The 17,926-nt window shown below is 47.1% G+C and overlaps 1 protein-coding gene across 3 annotated transcripts in view, besides 1 other annotated feature; it reads left to right on the top strand.

Annotated features, from left to right (window-relative positions):
• Positions 321–1,520: an enhancer, noted in NCBI's record as "P300/CBP strongly-dependent group 1 enhancer chr7:158939357-158940556 (GRCh37/hg19 assembly coordinates)". NCBI's record gives its function as "activates an origin of replication core promoter dependent on BRD2, BRD4, P300/CBP, MED14 and CDK7 cofactors, with strong dependence on P300/CBP, by STARR-seq in HCT116 cells {active_cell/tissue: HCT116}" and the evidence as "EXISTENCE:reporter gene assay evidence [ECO:0000049][PMID:35650434]".
• VIPR2 (vasoactive intestinal peptide receptor 2) overlaps positions 3,318–17,926 on the top strand; it is a 116,693-nt gene continuing 102,084 nt past the window's right edge. For all 3 annotated transcript variants that reach the window (NR_130758.2, NM_001304522.2, NM_003382.5), the window contains exons 1-2: positions 3,318–3,464; positions 5,640–5,739. Coding sequence is in view for 2 of the 3 variants with exons in the window: in NM_001304522.2 (NP_001291451.1) it covers positions 3,414–3,464; positions 5,640–5,739 (151 nt within the window). In the remaining variant the exon portion in view is untranslated. The remainder of the gene's footprint in view (positions 3,465–5,639; positions 5,740–17,926) is intronic.

The following is a 17,926-nucleotide window of genomic DNA, read 5'->3' as shown; positions in this document are numbered from 1 at the left end:
GAAAGGTGTCAGACTCTCCAGAAAGACCTAGTGACGGACAGGGATTCTCCACAGAGTGCAAGATTCCCCAACAGACAGCTTTGCTGGGCCATTTCAAAATCTGTCAAAGAAATATATTTCTTCAGGGCCTGCTGGCCGTCATGTGATGCTCTACTAGAGTCTGGTGGGAATTTGCTATCTTATTGCTATGAACAGTCTGTTTGGTCAGCCTTAGGAGCTCTGTTTTTATGTTAATGTTGGTCATGAACTCCAGGAAAGGAGGGTGTAGTGAGGCCTGCCCAACCCCCTCTCCCTGTCATGGCCTGAACTCGTTTTTCAGGTTTCTTTGGGATCCCTTTGGCCAAGAGGGGAGTCCATTAAGTTGGTTGGGGGGCTTAGAATTTTATCTTTTGTTTACAAAGGCATATTGAGAACTTTGGTCATTTTTCTAAGAGCATCAGGTAACCGCAGGGTTTGGGGTGTTCAGCAAAGCCCGTGATTACACACACACTGGACCTTCAGAGAAGTGTGCCATCTAGCTACGACCACAGCCATTTCTCCTGGTCTACCCCGTCCATCGGGACGCACTGCTGCAGGGGAAGACTCACCCATCATGCAACCCCTCACTGCACCCTGGACAGTCACTTCTAAAATGCAGGCCCTCAACAAGGTATTGACGTGTGCATTAATCACCTTGATTATTACAGAGCCCCTCTGCGGTGGAAGGGCAGGTGCTGTCATTCCTACAAATGCATAGAGCTCAAAGTTCATCGCTCACCCAGGTGGAACCGGGAGAAAAAGATGCGTTTGTCGAAGGCACCCAGCGCCACGAGCTTTCTTCACAAGCCAAGCAGCCCGCCTAAGGCCCAGGTCTCCCTCTCCTCGTCTCCCACTAGATACACATGGATGAAGCCAGATAGATAACAGGTAGAGGATAGATGACAGGCAGATGACAGATAGGCAGATGATAGATGATCGATAGATGACAGGCAGATGATGGATGACAGGCAGATCACAGATATGATAGATCACAGATAGATGACAAATAGGCAGATGATAGATGACAGGCAGATGACAGATAGGCAGATGATAGATGACTGATAGATGACAGGCAGATCACAGATATGATAGATCACAGATAGATGACAAATAGGCAGATGATAGATGACAGGCAGATGACAGATAGGCAGATGATAGATGACTGATAGATGACAGGCAGATCACAGATATGATAGATCACAGATAGATGACAAATAGGCAGATGATAGATGACTGATAGATGACAGGCAGATCACAGATATGATAGATCACAGATAGATGATAAATAGGCAGATGATAGATGACAGGCAGATGACAGATAGGCAGATGATAGACTGATAGATGACAGGCAGATGACAGATAGGCAGATGATAGATTGATAGATGACAGGCAGATGACAGATAGGCAGATGATAGGTGATTGATAGATGCCAGCCAGATGACAGATAGGCAGATGATAGGTGATTGATAGATGACAGCCAGGTAGATCACAGATATGCCGGATCACAGATGATGGATAGGCAGATGATAGATGACAGATAATAGATGATAGATTACAGATAGACGATCGATAGGAAGATAATAGATGATAGGTACATGACAGATCATAGATAAATGACAGAGAGGTAGATGATAGATGATAAATAGGTAGATGGTAGGTAATAGATAGGTAATAGATCGCAGAGAGATGATAGGTAGATGATAGCTGATTGATACATGATACAGAGATGATAGGTACATGATAGATGGATAGATCATAAATGACAGCAGATGATAGATGATAAATAGGTAGATGACAGGTTATAGATAGGTAAATTACAGATGAAAGATAGGCAAATGATAGATGATAGGTACATAATAGATGGATAGATCATAGATAATAGATGACAGGTAGGTGATAGAGGAAAGGTGGATGATAGATGATAGGCGCATGATGATAGATACCTGACAGATGGATAGATGAAAGGTAGATGATGGACAGGTAGATGATAGATGACAGATAATAGATGACAGATTACAGATAGATGATCGATAGGAAGATGATAGATGATAGGTACATGACAGATCGATAGATGATACGTAGATGATGGATAGGTAGATGATAGATAATGTGGATGATAAACATCAGATGATAGAAAAATCGATATCTGTGAATACGGGGGGTGGGGGATCAGAGAGAAGCAAATGATAAGCCCAATGAGGTAAATGTTAATGACCGAATCCACAAAAAGGATAAAAAGGAGTTATTTGTAATATTCTTATTCTTCTAATTTTTGTGTAAGTTTGAAATTATTTCCAAATAAAAAATTAAAACAACACGAACTTAACTTGTATCTCTCATTCCAGTGCTTTCCACTTGCTGGGGAACGCCGAGCTCTCCTGGGTTGGTCACGCGGGCGCCTTGGGAGGCCGCGCAGTCCCGCGTGGGGCGCGGCGGGGCGGCCCCAGTGGCACCGCGTGAGTCCCCGCCCAGCGTTCCCCACCCGCCGCCGCGTTTGCGGGGAGAGAATGACCCCCGTTTTGCAAACGCAGGACACAAAACCCGCCACCCAGCTGAGGCTGGGACCCACCTATACCCCCGTCTGCGTTTTTCTCCAGCTTTCTGTTCGACCTGATGTCCTCTTTGAGGCTGCGGGGATCCCCACCAAAAAGCACTCTGATTTTCTCCATTTTCAGATGCCCCAACCTAGCCCCACTGGCTACAAAGACGGCGCGCCCACCCCGGACGGGTCTCTGGCCGCTTTCTTGGGCTTCCGCAGTTGTTTAGAAAGGCAGGTACAGGCGGCCGCAAAGGCATCCGCCCCTTCCGAGCGCACACCTGGCCCGGTCCTCCTCTCCCGGCCCCGCGCCGGCCGCTCTCCCCCAGTTCTCTCTACTCGGAGCCGGGCGCGCACTGAGCACCCCGCTTCCCAGCCCCTCCGCCCACAGATCGGGGAGGCGCGGCCGGGAGGGGGGCGTGGGCCAGGGAAGAGGGGAGGAGAACGGAGAGAGAGGCTGGGGGGGTCGAGGAGACCAGAGGGAGCGCGCGCGGCGGGGACAGAGAGCCCAGGGGCGAGGAGAGGGCGCGGGGCGCAGCGGAAGGGGAAGTGGGGGGCGGTGAGGAGGGGCGCGGAGCGGGGGTTCTCGGGGGAGGAGGGAGACGAGGATTGGGGCAGCGCGGGGCGGGGACAGGGGCGGGGGGCGGAGCGGCGGGGCGCGTGGGGGACGGGCGTGCATTGAGCGCGCTCCAGCTGCCGGGACGGAGGGGGCGGCCCCCGCGCTCGGGCGCTCGGCTACAGCTGCGGGGCCCGAGGTCTCCGCGCACTCGCTCCCGGCCCATGCTGGAGGCGGCGGAACCGCGGGGACCTAGGACGGAGGCGGCGGGCGCTGGGCGGCCCCCGGCACGCTGAGCTCGGGATGCGGACGCTGCTGCCTCCCGCGCTGCTGACCTGCTGGCTGCTCGCCCCCGTGAGTGCGCCCGCGACCCCCGCCCCACGGCGCCTCGGACCCGGTTCTCCCCTTCCGAGAAGAGCGCTCCTCCCGCCGGTCTTCGCCTTCCTCCCGGGTGCTGGAGCGCGGGCGGGGTCCGGGAGAGGGAGCGGGGTCGCCCGGGGTCCGGAGCTTCCTCCCGGAGAGCGTGAAGCGCTGAGCTCCGGTCCCGCCGGGTTGCGGGACTCGGGTTGGGAGGCTGCCTGCGCCCTTCCCCGCGCCCCACCGTCCGGGGTTTGCTGGAAACGGGATCGTTTCTTCCTGGACGCGTCAACGATGAGCTCGTTCGGGGCCGTCCCGGGAGCTGGGAGCTGCGGGCGCCTGCGCGGGCTGCGCGTTTCACGGGGAGATCGGGGTTGGCGTTGGCCGCAGATGCCTCTCGGTCCCTCCCTGTACTTACTGGTTAGTTTTAGTGTCGGGGGGACGTGGCGTCGGTTAAATAAAGTTTCCTTTTGGAAATAGTTGCTTTTTCCCAAGGGCACTGGAGGAACTAACTGCTCATAAGTTTGTTGATTAAGTGCCTTCGCACATGGAGTTCTGAATTATTCCCTCTGTGAACCTTAAAAAAAAAGGAAAGAAAAAAGAAAGAAAAAAACCCGAGCCTTGTTTCTTGCTTTCCTCTTGGAGACTGAAGCGGGTTTGCGGTGCGCGCGGTTTTCGTGCGCGTCGCAGCCGAGGCAGGTCTGGATCGATCCGCGGCCCCTCCGCAGCTGGGAGGCTGCGCTGCTGACCCGACAGTGTCATTGATTAACCGGCGACGCCCGGTCTGCAGCGGGGCTCGAGCCACACTCCCTGGCCTTGCGCGGAGGCGCAGCTCGGCTTTCCTCCCTCGAGGGTGGGCGCTTTGCGGAGCGGGTCCTTGGAAAGTAACGGGTTTTATCACGGTTAATGCTGCTTTCATTGCTAAAATGTCCTAAAAGAAGTCATTGCTGTGCATATTCCAGGAACGTCAGGTATTATTAATGTCTTTTACACTTTAACAAAGTTTTTCTTTTTACATCAATATAATTTCCTTAATTCTGAAATTTAAGCCACTTACTTGTCCTGCATGAAAACAGAGGACTTGGAGCCCAAAGTCAGTGCCTGGTGCTGGTTCAGTCACGAGCAAGAAGCAAGCTCGGGGCTCTTTTAAATGGGGCTGAAGGTGGCAGAAGTTCCAGCATTGTTTTCCCCTTAATTCTGTTAGGATATTGTGTTCCTGGTTGGAACTCTCATTGACCATTTCAATAGTAAGATAACTAAACATAGATGGCCATAGTACGCCCAACAGTATGATTCTCTTTAGTTACTACTTTAGTACAAGTAGAATTTTGGTCGGTGGTGGGGGAGGGGGAAGATCAAGACCAAAAGGATGGGTGGGGGGAGCCCTCCTTAAGCCCCCAAGGGCCGCTTGGCAGGCCTGTGCTGACTTCGCGGAGGGCGTGAAGAACAAGGTAGAAACGGTGCCTTCTGAGAGGAAGCATTGTGTAGTTCTGCCTTCTTCTCACATTAGTAGACTGTTAATTACTATCTTTGTGGCACCTTTCGCTCCCCTGATGGATCCTGACTGGAAATCGCCCCCTCTTCTCTGTGGGGCCACAATGGTGTGATTCCCCCACCTCTGCCTCCCTCCTCATCTTGCTGATTTCTTTGAATATCTCTTCCACCCCAAATTCTAGTCAAAACGATTGCAGTTTTATCTGTAGTTAGAGGGTTAAGCTTTGAACATGTACCAACACCTTTAAAAATAAAGCCCTTCTATCACGGCTCTTTCCCGGGTGGAGGCCGTCCTCGGAGGAAGCGGCACAGTCCACAGGCATCCGCTTAAACCAAACCAAAGGGTGTGAAACGGAGGAGCCGGGTATGGAGAGATGAATGGAGTAAAGAGCTCTGTTGCCTCCAAATTAGTACCGATGTATTCTGTTAGTAAGTTCATTTTCCTGCTCAGAAAAAAAATTCTATTAGATTTTGTGTTTGTTTTATAATACCTTTACAAAGTAAATAGTGAAGTTTTTAAAAAATGCCAGAAAAATCAAGGTGATTGGTTTTAAATGCATTTTGGTTTGGAAGCAGTTTAAAGCTGTGAGGTTTGGGGTTGTTTTTGTAGAATTTTTGCTTGCTTTTCTTCTTCTTGTGGAATTTTTAGTTATTAATATTTCTTTTAACCGTGAACAGGTGAACAGCATTCACCCAGAATGCCGATTTCATCTGGAAATACAGGAGGAAGAAACAAAATGTGCAGAGCTTCTGAGGTCTCAAACAGAAAAACACAAAGGTAAGGCAGAGGCTTGGTGAGTAAGAACTCCCGTGACATTCTCACCCGGGAATGCGCCTCACTCAGCTGTGGTTCAGGGTCACCACCTGCATCTTAAAAAAAAAAAAAGAAAAAGAAAGGCCACTTCCCATTGTTTGTTAATGAACTACTGGTAAAACTCAGAGAGAGTTGGATAGGTAGGGTCTTCACACACACCTTTAAAAAGATAACCTTAATCCTTAGCAGTAACAGTTTCCATGGTTTGAGATGATAGCAACAGTTACTAAAACAATTTCATGGGCTTTGTTATGCTTTGCAAAAGCAGCTTCAGTTTTCCAGGGGATAAGCATTTATCTGAATTCTTGCATTTTAAATTCTTAGCTATAGGACAGATGATTTTGATCTGGTTAAGGATGGTGGGTACTTGGCAGAAAGCAAACAGGAAAATGGGACTTTGGTTGTGCTGAAGACGGGCCTGCGGTGAACACTGTGAACGTGCAGATCGCCTTCTCCGGTTTGACAGAGGCATGCTGGGCCATCATGCTCCAACAGGGCCTGCTATCAACCTGTTTATAGACTCTGCCCTGGGATAGCACCCGGCCTATAAATAGTAGCAAGGCCTTTGTCCCTCAGCTTTCTCTGCTCTTTGTCATGATTTTCTCCTCTTCAAGAAAGAAATTAAATCTGTGTTAAAACAGTCTGTTGTCCTGTAGAGGGCCTCAGATGGTGGGCTTTATTCAAGAATAGCCCTGCCCAGCAGCAACAGAATGCAAGCCACATTACAATGAGTAAAAAGAAGCATGAGAGATTAATTTTAATAGTATCCTTTATTTACCTGAATAAATCTGAATCGTTAACATTTCAACGTATAATCAACCTGAAGTTATTAATTTTGCATTCTTATTTGATGCTAAGTTGTAGAAGTCCAGTGTGTTTTTTGTGCTTACAGCACGACACAGTTTGGGCCCCATTTCAAGGTCCAGTAGCCACAGGCGGCCAGCGGTCTCCACGCTGGACAATGGGCTGTAGATTGTCACTAAAACAGGTGTCCCTGCCCGTTCCCATCCCCCTCTGAGCCACCGTTTCTTGGTCTGAAACGTGCAGGCTCTGCCTCCGAGGCTTCTTCCGGCTGTAAAGATCTGCGATTCCGCGGTGCACGCATGGTTCTGGCCCATCTTCCAGATTGTCTGGTTGAACTCTGTCCAGAGAAAGGCAAATAAAGTAACTTGGCTGAAGCCATGCTGAGAGTCTGTCCTGGGAAATGCTGATGCGGCCCAGGAGATGTGGATGGAGGAGGCAGCCAGTCTGCCACGGCAGAAGCAGCAGCGTGGCCATGGGAGGTCCTTCTTCCAGTGAAAGTTCTGAGTTAGGAAAGGTAGTCCTGAGGAGAGACAGGCTTTTAGGGTTGCCCTCCTCACCTCCAAGTTCCAAATTGTCCAGCTTCCTGTTTTCATGGGATATTAGAAATGCAGATTTATATAAAATATTCCACTTTCTTAAAAGTTTGCAAACAATACATTAAAAAAAAAAGATTTTGAGGGAGCCTGGAGCCATCTGATGGCTCTCTGCACGGTAGCTGGACCCTAGCTTAACCTGAGATTGGCGACGCCTCCTGGAACACCCTCACCCAAAGGCAGGTCAGCACATTTACACTATTCACAGGGGCTCCCCCTCAGTGGGCAGTCCGTGTGTGAGTCATATCGGGCGCTAGGGGCCGCAGGTCCCAGGCAGTCACTCAGCCCCACGCCAGCTTGAGCGGGTTCATATGCAGGCCCGAGAGCCCCTCGCAGGCAGCGTTGGTTGGGAAACTTGTCACTCGGCTTTCTTGCAGCGACAAGGTGTCTACCTGGACATCTCATATTGAAGGCTCTTATTTCCAGTGTCAGCTCTGTAGGAAAAATATCTGTATCTGATCTGTTTTACCTTTTTGACTTGCACGAAGTACTTGGTAACAAGACACTGCCCTTCAGGAGAGAAGCAGCAGCATGCCGGGGCCTCAGCCTGGCCACTCTTTTGTTTTTCTGTACTCTTTGAAATATGCGTGGCTCAAATGCCAGGGATGTAAATAGAAGTAAGTTACCAGAATAAAGATGCTATCAGCGATGTGAACCGGAATCTACAGGCTGAGGCTGAGGCAGGCGTCTGATTAGATGGGCTGAGTGACTCCACGAGACAACAGTGTGCATTTGCACCTGACGCCAGGTGAGATGAGATACTGAGGGTCTGTTACAGCCACTTTTAAATCCATACGATTAAGAAATTTGTGTGAAAGAGTGCCAGAAATGAGGTGAAAAAAATCTAGCTTCCAATTCCAATGAGGTAATTTGTGTAAGTCTGATTTGGAAATGTTTCTCTTTATTACATGTTGAATCTAAAAAAAAAACAAAAACAAAAAAACACGTAAATCCAGACAGAAACCAATTTCAATTCTAAGCTCTCTTACGGGATTCTCTTTGTAAGCTTAGGAGTTATTTGGAGCTGTATGACTTAACATCGATGCATCACTAAGACAAGCTTTCTCTTGCCGATATGTGTATGAGGCACTCCCGGCCTCAGAGCCGAGATCCAGCCCTGTTTCCATGGCCCATGCCAACTCGCAGGTGGAAGGCACAGGTCCCTGAGGGGGCTTTGTCCAGGCTTCCTGCCTAGGCACAGGCTGGATAGGAACTTTCGTGTGACTTTATATCATTCTTACACCCGCGTCTGGAGGGGTGTGACCTCCTCTGGGGAGAAGCAGAGGTGGTCTCTATGTGTTCTGGGAGCTCACTGTTCTGAGACATCCTTCAGAGGCGCATGGCTGAAATGGATCTGACTGTGAATGTCAGCTTAGACCAGGCCATGGAAAGTGCTAGGCTTAAAAACTAACTTTTCTTTGATTTTTTTTAAAACAATGGATGCTGAACTAATTTCGATCTACATGTCAGGAACTATGGAGGGTTTGAGGTCATTCCCCACTTGCAGGCTAACAACGTCGCCTGCCACAGTTTTGCAGATGCTGCAGAAGACGTGAGATGCTGGGCCAGAGACAAGAGACTTGCTGTTCACAGCACAGCAGGCATCATGAGCTGCGTGTGCGCACGGGTTCCCTCTGCTTCTCAAGCCCCCCAGGAGCAGTGGGAGCGGCCCCCTCCGATGCAGTGCATTTGTGTTGTAGCTGAGGAGAACTGGCTTAGGAAACCCCCAGTGTCAAAAGGAGGCTGCTGGCAAATCCCCAGCCTTTGTTACAGAGAGAGATGGTATTGTAATTATCTTAATTATCGAACTCTCCTAGGTTGTTTGCTATACAAACATCCTCAGAAAGAAGGATGACTTATGTCAGAGAAACATATTCTCTATCATACTTGGGGGAATGAACTCCTAAAGCAAGGACTGGTGGCTGCTGAGTAGGATGGAAATGTGCTTCCTTTCCTGTCCCACAGCATCCTGTGACTTTCGTGATCATAACTCACTGTGTGATTTCTTGGTCCTTCTCCTCCAGTGCCCAGAGGAGATGGCATCATGTTTCTGCTGCTTCTCCCAAGTCTCACACAGAACTTAGCATCTAGAGAGATATTTTAAAAGCTTTTGCTGAACAAATTAATGAAAATTCTCACAGTAGAAATTAAGTGATATACATATATATATCTAATATGCACATAGAAAAATTCTGTTCAAAAATGTATATAATGGGAAATGTCTCTACAGACTTCACTGCTGCCAGCCCCAAGTTGCCCCTGGAGAGTTGGGGTGCGCACACGTCCACACGTGGGTAGACCCCGCTTTTCCTTCCAGACACGTGGAAGCTGGCATACTCTTCACACATGTGCTCGGCATCTTGCTTTTCTTTTCTGTTTTGTATTTCAGTGTAACAATGTATTTGGCAACTGTTTTGCATTTGTTCTTATATTCTCTTTAAGAGCTGCTATAGTATTCTAATGTGTTTCTTTAGTCTCTCCCAGGTCCATGGACTTTTAGGTAGCCGACAGTATTTTGCTACTACAAACAATGTTCTAGTGACCGTTTTGTTGGTGGGAATAAAATATTTCACCAGCATTTGAGGGTTAACTTCAAGCCACTCATATAAAATGGGAATCACCATCTCCTATGACCAAATGACACTATTTTAGCCCACTTTCTCATTCCTGTGTCGGTTGTGTCATGTGGGATATGGTTAATCACAACCCATTTTACACCTAACCCCTTCTTGCTTGTTTCTCTTTGTCAGAGGAAACCAGACAGTGTCCACAAATGGGTTCTTGCTCACAGCGTCATGTGGGCACTGACCCTCCTCGGAGGGTCCAAGGCCCTGTGTGGCTGCAGCATTCCACCTCGCTCTGTGGTCTCGGCTCAGCTGCCCTGCGATGCTGCCCTCTGCTGCGGGAGCTGGAGCTCTGGTGGGAGCTCGCTGTTCGTGGTCCTCAGCAGATATTCAAGGCAGACCTGTTCTAAGAAACTAAATGAATAATCACTGTGTTATGCTCCAGAAGGTCTGAACCGAGCAGTTTTGGCATCCACGGCAGAGAGCAGAGAAGTAGGTTCCTCTGATGTCAATATTGATGGTGTAGACGTCAGTTGTATCTTAAAAGGTGCCTATATCTTTCCTTTTCATTTTCTTTCTGATATAAGTAGGTCCTTGTTCTAGTCCAAATAACTTTTTGGACTGATGAGATAAACAGCCTGGTCACTTTTTTCTTTTGGATCTTTTTGACTAGATTTCTTCCATTTTCTAAACTCTTTAAGGTCATTTCCTCGTCTTGGATATTTAAATAATTAATAACTGTTTATTGGTTGGGACAGTCTTAAAGTAATGTCTTTATGCCTGGTGCAATGGGCTCATGCCTGTAACCCCAGCACTTTGGGAGATCGAGGCAGGAGGGTAACTTGAAGGCAGGAGTTCAAGACAAGCCTGATTAACATAGCAAGACACCAAAAAAACTTTTTAACTTAACCTGGTGTGGTGACACACACCTATAGTCCCAGCTTCTCAGGAGGCTGAGGCAGGAGGATTGCTTGAGCCCAGTTCAAGGCTGCAGTGAGCCATGATGGCACCACTGCACTCCAGCCTGGACAACACAGACAACAGAGCAAGAAGCTGTCTCTATTTTTTTTTAAAGTAATGTCTTTATATTTACTTTTTATAGGAAACAAATCTCACTGAATTAATTTTTACCCTGAATAAAATGCTTAAGAATCATAAAGGGAATTATGGTTGAGAAGTCAGTTTCTGGCAGGTGAAGGAGTGGGCCACTCAGAAGTGCACTAATGGCTTCTCCTGTCTGGGAAGAACGGAGCTGTTGCCTGGGTGACCACAGTGGGTCACAGGAAGCCATTCAGGGTGGGCGGCCGGCCCCTTGAGGTGAGCTGCTGCTGATGGGGTCAGAGTCAGCTTCCTCCCCACCCCTCCTGCTGAGGTCAGGGCTCAGTCTGGTGCTGGTGACCCCAGACACAGCAAGCTCCCACCAGTCGATGGCCTCTCCTGGTGCATACCTCTCTGCCTTCTCCACTCCCCTCCCTTGATCTCTGTCTCCTCCATCCTTGGGCTCTCACACCTGCCTCCTCCTCCCCAGGTATGCCTGGGTGTCCTCAGAACCTGGCTGCTTCCTGTCCTGCTGGTGGGGGTTGGTGACGAGTGGCGGCTGCTTCTCCACATGGCCACAGCAGTAACAATTCCTGCTGGCCTCATTTTTTATGATTTTATATTTATATACCCATTTCACATTCTTTACTTATGAGCCATGGTTTTTACAGCATGTTGTCTGTCGGGGCCTCCTCCTTTTCCTGGGCTCAGCCTGTTCTTCCACAAGGACTGTGTTGACGCGGGGGTTCTTGAGAGGCTCAGAGACCTGGGTCAGTGGAAACGAAACCCACAGCCAGCATGCAGCTCACCACACACACAGCTCCTCAGTGTGTGGCCAGTGACCTCTCAGCTTCTTCCGGGGCAGCAGTGGTTGTCTTGGGTACATGGCCACTGTGGATGGACACTAATGTGCGCTTTCATGCAACCTGTCAGATTCTTGGTGGCTTCGACTCTCACATGTTTTTGATTTGCTATGGTTTGAATATTTATCCCCTTCAATACTTAGGTTAAAACAATCCTCAATGTAGTAGTATTGAGAGACGGGCCTTGAAGAGGTGATTGGGTCATGAAAGCTCTGCCCTCGTAAGTGGGTTAATCCGTTAATAGATTAGTGGGTTTTCAAGGGATAGGTTTTATAAGAAGAAGAGAGACCTGGGCCAACACGCTCAGCCCCCTCACTACACGATGGCCTGTGCCACCTGGGAACCCTGAAAAGTCCCCGCCAGCAAGAAAGCCATTGTGGCCACTCGACCCTGGATTTATCCAGCCTCATAACTGTGAGAAATAAATGCCTTTCCTTTATAATTTACCCAGTTTCCGGTATGTTGTTATAAGCAACAGAGGCAAACTTAGACACATGAGCAGACTGCAGCTCTTCCTGAAGGGGACTTGGGACTCGAACCTCTTTGGTCACAAAGCTTTGTAGAGTTTTCTGGGTCAGCACCCAGTCCTGTGATTCCCTGAAGGCTTCATGGCCAGGACCTGTGTGTTTGAGGGTTGCCTCGTGTCGTGGGATGAGTGGAAATTAAACCGTCCGGCTGACATTTGCTGATGCGTTGGCTGATCCTCTCATTTATTTATTTTTTCTGAGATGGAGTTTCACTCTGTCGCCCAGGCTGGAGTGCAATAGCATGATCTCAACTCACTGCAACCTCCGCCTCCTGGGTTCAAGCAGTTCTCTTGCCTCAGCCTCCTGAGTAGCTGGGATTACAGGCGCCTGTCACCACGCCCAGCTAATTTTTGTATTTTTAGTAGAGATGGGGTTTCACCATGTTGGCCAGGCTGGTCTCGAACTCCTGACCTCAGGTGATCCACCCGTCTTGGCCTCCCAAAGTGCTGGGATTACAGGCGTGAGCCACTGTGCCCGGCCTCCTCCCATTTATTAACATTTTTCAGCAGGTTTTTATGGAACAGATACCAGATTGTAATAAAGAACTTTCCTTTTTAAATATTATTTTTATTTTATTTATTTTTTGAAACGGAGCCTCACGCACTCTGTCACCCAGATTGGAGTGCAGGGGTGCGATCTGGGCTCACTGCAACCTTTGCCTCCTGGGTTGAAGCAATTCTCCTGCCTCAGCCTCCCGAGTAGCTGGGATTACTGGCATGTGCCACCATGCCCAACTAATTTTTTGGATTTTTGGTAGAGACAGGGTTTCACTATGTTGGCCAGGCTGGTCTTGAACTCCTCAAGTGATCCGCCTGCCTTGGCCTCCCACAGTGCTGAGATTACAGGCGCGAGCCCCTGTAGCCGGCCCTTTTTTAATGTTAAAGACTCACTTTTCTTAACTAATCAAAGACTAGAGACAGCATGAAGCTTAATAAGTTATCCTGATAAAACACAAAATCATTGTTTTCTAGGCCAATTACTTAAAATGTTAAAAAAAAAAAAAAAAAAAAAAAAAACTTTTGTAATTAAGAGAAGACCAATATTCAAGAAAATATTGTCCTATTGGCCAGGCGCGGTGACTCATTCCTGTAATCCCAGCACTTTGGGAGGCTGAGGCAGGCAGATCATGAGGTCAGGAGATCAAGACCATCCTGGCTAACACGGTGAGACCCCGTCTCTACTAAATATACAAAAAATTAGCCGGGCGTGGTGGCGGGCGCCTCTAGTCCCAGCTACTCAGGAGGCTGAGGCGGGAGAATGGCGTGAACCCAGGAGGCAGAGCTTGCAGTGAGCCGAGATGGCCCCACTGTACTCCAGCCTGGGTGACAGAGCAAGACTCCGTCTCAAAAAAAAAAAAGAAAGAAAATATTGCACTATTAATAGAAAACAAACTCACTTTGTGTCAGTACTTGAAGCTTTTTTTAACAAAAACTTATAAATAAAATCATTCTAATGTTAGTAGTTTGACCACACATAAAATTTCTTTTGTCAGACTTTCTACAACTGTGTATACCCACTCAGTTTTTTTCTTACTCATTTTCTTCTTTTTTATTCTGGAACAATCAGTCATCTTGCTTTAAGTTAAAAGTACTCTCTTTTTCCTTAAACACAGACCTCATATACTTTTCCTTATTAAAAACACATCATACTTTCTCTGTTTTTTTCATATACAGTTGTTTGCTTTCATCTTTATTTCCAGTGATTTTAATTACACATGTTAATTCAAATTCTTAATCCTTAGTGACACTGATATGCACTGTGAATTAGGAAGTACATGATATCATAGTTATTAAATGGCATGTACTTTCTCAGCACAGGACACACTTACTGGCAGACCTAGGTAGCTCCAGTTCCTCTAGAATAAGCCAAAAATACTTGAGCTTAAACTTCTTTTTAGGAATTAGTGTTTTAGTAGTTTATCTTATTTGGGCATGATCTAGATATGTAGTAAATATCATTTAATTTAACTTAGTATAATTTCAGAGTTTCAAGTTTTCAAAAATATTTTGGAAACTGTTTTTAAACAGACGGATAATATCAAACTACCTGTCATCTCAGGTTATTTTTCTTGTTGACAAATTTTTTAACAGGAATAATGAGCTTATTTGACTAGCTCAGCTAGGTAGAATGTCCATTTCTACTACATCATCGACATTCTTATTTATTAAAGATTACTCAAGTTAGATGAACTTGAAAACCATTGGGTTAGTTCCTTTTTTCTCACAAAATATTTAATTTTTACAAGCACCTAATTTTCTTTAGGCAAATAAAATAGATCTCGTTTATATGTTATCTCTAATAATAACATCAGAAGGTAGGGTAATATGAGATATAAATAACATACATACATATAGACGTACATAACCAAACAGACAGAAGCAGAGATTCCTGGCCTCTGTTCTCAAATTGTAGCCCTGTGCCAGGAACGATAATATAAAACTCACTGGTCGGTCCAAATTGTGTTCTTGGCAGATAAAGTTACCTGTTCGGATGGCCAAAGTCTTTTGTTAATACATATGGAAAGGACTTTACGATTTTCCATTTGCCAGTTTTTTTCTACAGTGTTCCCATTTTTTCTCCCTTCTGATGCGTCATTTCCCAGATGCCTGCATTTTAAAGATTTCGGTATCTCTAAGGCAGGGAGAAAGGACATTAAGTTTTCTCCAGAAAGGAGCTGTGGGCATAGTTGCCTGTTGTCCGGGGTCAGCTTTATTGGGACCGTGGGCCGTGTTTAGGGGGTGGCCAGGAGACACTGGTGTGTTGACGAGTCCTTCTCCTCTTCAGCCTCAGGTGGCTGCTTTTGTAATAGCTCAGGGTTGTGTGCAAGAGGCCAAAATCTGAGTTAGTTGTTGCAGATGCCCCAGGCTCAGTGGAGGATTTAATTTGTAAGGAAGTTGGTTTTCAGAATCTTCTTATGGAAAAGGCAAGAAATCAAAATAGCGTTTTGTTTGAGTGTTGTAGAGATTCCTTTAGGGAGGCTGCATTTTTGGAATCATTCTGTCTGAAATCAATCTGTATGCCAATCATTCTGTCTAAAATCAATCGGTATGCCAATCATTCTGTCTGAAATCAATCTGTATGCCAATCATTCTGTCTGAAATCAATCTGTATGCCAATCATTCTGTCTGAAATCAATCTGTATGCCAATCATTCTGTCTAAAATCAATCGGTATGCCAATCATTCTGTCTCAAATCAATCGGTATGCCAATCATTCTGTCTGAAATCAGTCTGTATGCCAATCATTCTGTCTGAAATCAGTCTGTATGCCAATCAAAAAATATATTGCGTGGTTTGCAGATACTCACGATTCCTTGTTCTTGAATGAGCCCGTCCGTGAATGATTTCATGTGGAATAAACTTCCCACTGTGGCCACTGTGACTCGGAGTCATCCCCCTGAGCTGCACCCATTTCTCCAGAAAGGCACGGGCTCTGGGTCTGTAGTTTCTGAACATATAATTAGCTGGAGTTCCAGATGGGGTGTCCCAGACTCCATGGATTCTGATGAACCCATAATTCCCTGTTTTTCTCACATTTTTCTTACCTGAGGCCTCCGACTGGATCCAGGCCAGTTCCTGTAGAACACCCAGTTTCACTCTGGATCCCAGTCCAGGTTCCAGTGCAGTCCCTGTCAGACCCAGGCTGAGCTCTGGAATAAAAACTGCTCCCATGGAGTCGGAGAGCTCAGGGTGCAAGTTGTGGAGCTCGACCTCCTAGAGGGGCTTCCCCTGTGGCCACCAAATGCAGCAAGACAGCAGTGGGTGCAGTGGCCCGGGGGCTGCCCGCGCCTGGTTACTCGCTGCTCCTGGGGATCTCACTTCTGACGAGACTGTCAAAAAGGTAAACTGAGGCACAGTGCTGTGTTTAAAGAGTTCATTTGAGCAAGCAACAATTCATGAACCAGGCAGCTCCAAACCAGAGGTGGTTCAGGAACTCCCCTGAAGGAATGTGAGGGGGAGGCTTTTATAGACGACACAGAAGTAAAGCAAAGAATGTTGGCTTGGTTACACTTGCACAGCTGCCTTATTTGTTCTGTCCCATTGGAAAGTCCCTCGTTGATACGATTATTAAAGTTTGTTGGCTACATCTGGTTGTTGAGCTTAAATCCTACTCTTCTTTAAAATGGGAATTTACAAGAAATGGCTCAGGTTAAGTGTCGCTTATGTCTGCAAATCAGTCAAGGTTGAGGTAATTTGAGACCTGACTGGTTGTGTCTGCTCAGGAATTTTTCAGGTGTTGTCTCCATTTTAACTTTGAGAAGCTTAAGCCACCTCTGGTGATAACCAAAATCAGTGACTTAGGCATGGATTTCAATGAAGGTTTCAAGAGGTTTATTAAGCCAGTCTTACAGCAGATTCAGAAAAAATGTGAGTCACAGACACACCTGTGACTATCTTTTCTGAAGAGGTCTTCAGGAGGGTTAGTGTTTATACTTGCCCTTAAAGCAGCAAAGTCCTGTGGGGAGAGGGGCGAGGAGGTAGTAAGGCAAATGGCCACATGCTGAGACTTTAGTTGGTACCCAGTAAATCTGCGTTTTACATCAGACCAGATGAACTTTTGAAGAAAGAAAGGGGATAAAGGAAGCATCAGTTTTGCAGGTATTTCTGGGTAGGTAGAGGAAATGGCTGATCTCATCTTGTCATTCTGCACCTGGGAAGACAAGCTTGTAATTGACATGATCAGTGTGAAATGAACTGGGCCTCCATCCTTAACTTTTCCTTTGGCATAAAGAGTTTGGGGGTCCTGAGAGTTTTCTGTTTGCCTTTACACAGGAGATAAGGTTTTCCATTTGTTCACCATCCACTTTGTGAAATCAGCATTTTCTCTTCTCTGGTCTGTCGATTCTTTGAAGTTTGACAGCAGGGCCCCGTGTTCTTCTTTCTAAGATTTGATGACCCCTCCTCGTTCCACTGGCTAGAGTCTCCCCTATCACACCCCTGGCACAGACCACCCCATTATCTACGTTTCTGCATGTAGATGAACTGGGCGGAGGCAGCGCATTCTGTCTGGAAGAGGAGACTGCCATGCTGGGCCTTGGATGCCATGTCCAGAGCACGCTCAGATGTCTGCAGCTGCTTGAGTATCCTGCCGTTTGTAGTGCTTCTGTGGCTCAGAATTAACAGTTAATTTCAAGGCAACCTTCCTCCCATCCCAGGAGATTATTAACAGAGCTTTTCAAAGGATCTGTAACTTACCTGTAACTCTTTCCTTGCCAGTGAAGAATGTAACCACCTGATGGGTTCTTCCTGCCCATGGCACAAACGAAATCAATACACAGCATTTCAGTAAAGAAAGAATTTAATTGACGTGATGCCGGCCACGCCATGTGGGAGACCGAGTTGTTACTCAAATCACCTCATCAAAGGCTCAGAGGCTAGGGTTTTTCAAAGGTAGTTTGGGGATTGGGGGGTGCTAGGCAGTAGTGCTTGCTGCTGATTGGCTGGGGTGCCGTCACAGGGGTGTGGGAAATGGTCCTCAGTGGGCTGAATCACTTCTGGGTGGGGCTACAGGAGTGGTTGGCCGGTCCAGGTGGAGCCATGGTGTCAGACATGCAGAACCCTGAAAAGATATCTCAAAAGGCCAATCTTAGGTTCCATAATAGTGATGTCATCTGCAGGGGTAACTGGGGAAGTTGCATATCTTGTGACTTCCAGAATAATGGCTGCCAATCATTTATATCTGTGCCTTAGCAGAATTCAGCCTCCTCTCCTCTCCCTAGCCCGGTGGTCTCTCATTAGCTTTACAAAGATGGCTGAGTTTGGG

This window comes from Homo sapiens, chromosome 7, assembly GCF_000001405.40.
Source record: "Homo sapiens chromosome 7, GRCh38.p14 Primary Assembly".
In the NCBI taxonomy this organism is placed as follows: Eukaryota; Metazoa; Chordata; class Mammalia; order Primates; family Hominidae; genus Homo; species Homo sapiens.
Note: the sequence above shows the minus strand (reverse complement) of the source record. Positions and strands in the feature narration are given on the sequence as shown.